The sequence below is a fragment of the Homo sapiens genome, chromosome 5, assembly GCF_000001405.40.
Source record: "Homo sapiens chromosome 5, GRCh38.p14 Primary Assembly".
In the NCBI taxonomy this organism is placed as follows: domain Eukaryota; kingdom Metazoa; phylum Chordata; class Mammalia; order Primates; family Hominidae; genus Homo; species Homo sapiens.
The window spans coordinates 151,945,441-151,949,366 of record NC_000005.10 but is presented as its reverse complement, the minus strand read 5'-3'; the positions used below and the strand labels follow the sequence as shown (position 1 = coordinate 151,949,366).

Sequence of the window (3,926 nt, the reverse complement as noted above, 5' to 3'; positions counted from 1 at the left end):
GAGCCGCAGAAGAAAAGCTGTACTCACTCAATAACTCAGTATTGCTGAGCTAAATCTCTCCCTGGGGCATCTTTCTCTCTCCAACGCTGCCAACATTCCAATTTTGGCATTTGTTTACACCCTTCCCTCTAGAATTTCCCTCTAGCCAGACTCCAAAAACCAGCTAAAGCCTTCCTCCTTCAGGAAGTCTTGCCTGCTTCATCCCTCTCTACCTCCACTTAAGATTCCCTCTCTACATAGGCTGCAGCCCACACTAACAGTAATAAAAACACAACAGTAAGGGCAAGAACAGTTTTTATTGAGTTCTAGCTCTATGTCAAGCTCTGTTCTCAGTACTTACTGTAGATAAATGTTAATCCTCATAAAAGTCCTGTGAGGTGAGTACTAGCACCCTCTTACCCAGACAGTAAGGTTAGGTTACTTGTCCCCCGTCACAAGCTCAGAAGCAACAGGGACAAGATTCAAACCCAGGCAGTCTGTCCCAGCCAGATCTTCATTCCTAATCACCCCCACTGCACTGTCTCATATTTTCAGGATTCTTTACAAACAGCCTCCTCATTTTTCATCTCATGTTCAGGTTCACAACAACCCTTAGATATAAAAAGGGGGAAATCTTAAAAGAAGAAAATAAATCTGTAAGTTAGGAAACCTGCTTAAGCAATGCACCCACTAAGTGGTCATTCCAGGACCCCAGGTCAAACAGTACCCAGGCCCAGCTTATAAGTCTTAGCACCAAGACCAGAACATCTCCCAGAGGTGGCACAGCCGGTATCAAACAACTGTAGTCATGGGCCACCACCAGGGATCAGGGAGGAGGGCAGAGAGTGGCCATGAATTGAACCCAACAGTCAGAAGCCAGAGAAGGGGAGCTGGCAAGCCCCAGGGAGCAAATACTGACGATGCTTTTCACTCCAGCGGAGGGCATGCAGCTCCTGTGCTTACCCCATGGCTGCACATTGTAAGTAGCCAATGAAGGATGGAGACATAGTGTGTGTTTCTTTTTTTCAGGGTCTGAAAGAGCTAGTACTGAAATCTCCTTCTTAGGGAAAATGAAACTAAAGGCCAGAGAGGAAGGTCTGGACCAAGATAACAGAATAAATTAGGACAAAGAACAAAAACCCGGGTCTCCTCCCTTTAGCCTCTCTTCACCAGAAACATCCTCTGCAGCACCCAGCAGCCCCTGAGAACGGACTATTACTCACTGGACAGACAGCCTGGGAAATCCCAGGCATCTGGCTTTTGCCCTAGCATGTTCTCAGCCTCTGCAGACAAACACCACATGCAGGAAGGGTGGGTACCACCATCTGCACAGAGCCTTAATGAGAAGGCTGTGATCTCTTGGTGTCTTAGCCAAGCTGTTTGCCCATCTCAGGGAGTGAGCACCTTTGGCCTGACCTAACATAGGCCTTTCACCCCTGCATGGCCTAAATAAGTCACCTTGGAGTCCTCTCATCTGCTCTGCAATGAATGTCTTCCTTTGTCAGGGAAATACTTGTTAAATATCCTGGCAGCAGGAAAAGAATGGAATGAATCCCATAAGGATTATAGGTTTGAAAGGAAAACCATCATACCTTGGTCTGTCTTTATACAAGATGAGATTCTTCAGTGTCCAGTCTCCTGAGATCTCTTCGCTGTGGGAGCTAAGAATGGTAACCTCACTTCAAGGGTCCTTGATGAGATGTCCATGGAGCATAAGAAAAAAGGTAATGCTCACTTCAGTAAAAGTCCGTTAACAATTATGTCCTTCATCAGTAAAATGGGTTGGCTCCACAGGACAATGAGTCACATAGAAGATGAATCTTTTGGGACTCTGGAGCAGATCCTGTGTGGCAGAACATTAAATAGAGGCATCAACATTCCTTTTAAATCTCTAGTTCTATTCCCATGATCCTTGGAGGGTAGCAATATAAATAACATAGGTTTCAGAATCAGGATAGTGCAGTCCAGTCCTGGCTCTGCTATTTAGAGTCTGTGTGACCTTGGACAAGGTGTTTCTGATCTGTGAGATGTGGCTGACCCTTCCCCTACCTCTTTGGGTTATTGAGAAGATGAGAACAATGGGGGGTATGCCCTGCACCCTTCCAGGCACATAGTGTTCAGCAAATATTAGCCTCCTCACTTCCTAAAAGGGGGCATCCAGAACTGCAAGATCTCCTGATCCTAAGGCTCATAAAAGAAAAAAATGTCTGTGATTCCAAAAGAAATTGGGCAAAGAGAACATTGATAGGAAACCTTTCCTGGCTCTCAAGAACACTGGGGCCATCTTCTCCCTAACCTTTAAGATAATGCCCATGTTGATTTTATTTCCAAACTTGCAATTTGGCAACTTGCTCTAGCCTTCTTTCCCCCACTTTTTCTTCCAATGATTTAGGCTGAGCTGTTGCTTGAGCCAAAAAAAAAAAAAAAACCCACGCTGAAGTCTGCACCCTTCCCTCCAGAAGATAAATTATGTTGGTTTTCGCAGTGAGTGAATTGGGGCAGGAGAGAGATTTCACTAGAATAAAATGTTCTAGGCTGAAAAGGTGACTTCAAGTAGATTTTCTTTGTTTGCAGAGGTTCCCAGACCCCCTGATTTACCTGCTCCAGCCTGGGGTGGCTGCTCACCTCCAGGTGATGGCCTCGGGGGAGCCTCTTAAGACTTGGAGCAGAGGTGGCTCCGAACTGAAGGACACTGACAATTGGCAGCTTGCCTCTGTCCTCTTCTCTCCCTTCCCTCACAGGAACGGAGCTGTGAGTGAAGACAGGAAGAAATAAACCATCCTCTGTTTTTCAAGAGAAAGATAGCTTTTAGCAGAATTGTCTAAGATATCACACCCAAGGAGAGCAGGCCTACTTCCACCTATTCAGCATTTTCCAATCAATGTAACAATGACTTTACATGGTACAGGAGATGATTTTAAGACACAGACACATTAAATCACATTAAGTCATTTAGTGAGGAAGTTATTTACTTTCCAATCCTCTTTAAATTCTTCTCATTAGAAAGGAAGAAGCCTCAGTTTGGTGCTAGTGTGTCTTTAACCCTGTCCTACCACTTTCTTAATCATCCTTGTTAAACAAAAAAGCAGTCCGCAGCCCTGGTCCTTTAGCAGGAAACAGTATCAGCTAGAATGTAATTGCTTCTTCTGTTTTTGTTATACTTATTTTCAGGTCATCTACTTTTTAAAGCAAGTGATAATGGCTTCCCATTTATTGTAGTATGAAGATTCCTTTTAAAATAAATACATGTATGTTTTGAAAGGTGGGCCAATGTTAAGGAAAATATTAAGCAAATAATATTATAGGTGATTCACAGATATGACAACAATCACAAAGATACAAAAGACTAAAATTGGATAAATGTTGGATTGATTGGAAACAAATACATGGCATGCAACTCTTTTCCCACTTCTTTTTCAAATTAAATAATATATCCTGTTGCCTCATTTTTCCAGTTGAAATCCACTCAGGCTCTCCCACTTCCTTTTTCCTTTCTTTTCCCAAGGCTTCCTTGGTAGCAGAGGAATTTGCTACTGGTGAGAAGCATATCATTTTCCTTCCCCTTAGATTCAACGTGAATGCTTGGAGCCATACAAATGCCCATTATACTCATCTATTCATTCATTCAGTTAATATACATTTGCAGGCACCCACTCAGTATCAGTCCTGTGTCAGGTGTGATGATACAGCAATGAACAGAAAAGACACAGTCCCTGCCTTCCTCGGGCTCAGAGTCTAGCTGAGGAGGCAGAAGACTACACAAGCGACTGCAACATAGTGTCATACATCCTGGAACGGGGGAGCCACATGGCACTGAGAGCGCAGATAGGAGATCAGGGAAAGCTTCCCGGGTGAAGGCAGCAGTGCCTTATAGTGCTATGTCTGCCAGCTCCATATAATCACACGTGGAGACCAATCTCAGTACCATCACTCTCCTGCTGGGAGAT

The 3,926-nt window shown here is 44.1% G+C and overlaps 1 annotated feature.

Moving 5' to 3' along the window:
- Window positions 1,010–2,209: an enhancer, noted in NCBI's record as "BRD4-independent group 4 enhancer chr5:151326719-151327918 (GRCh37/hg19 assembly coordinates)". NCBI's record gives its function as "activates an origin of replication core promoter dependent on BRD2, P300/CBP, MED14 and CDK7 cofactors, and independent of BRD4, by STARR-seq in HCT116 cells {active_cell/tissue: HCT116}" and the evidence as "EXISTENCE:reporter gene assay evidence [ECO:0000049][PMID:35650434]".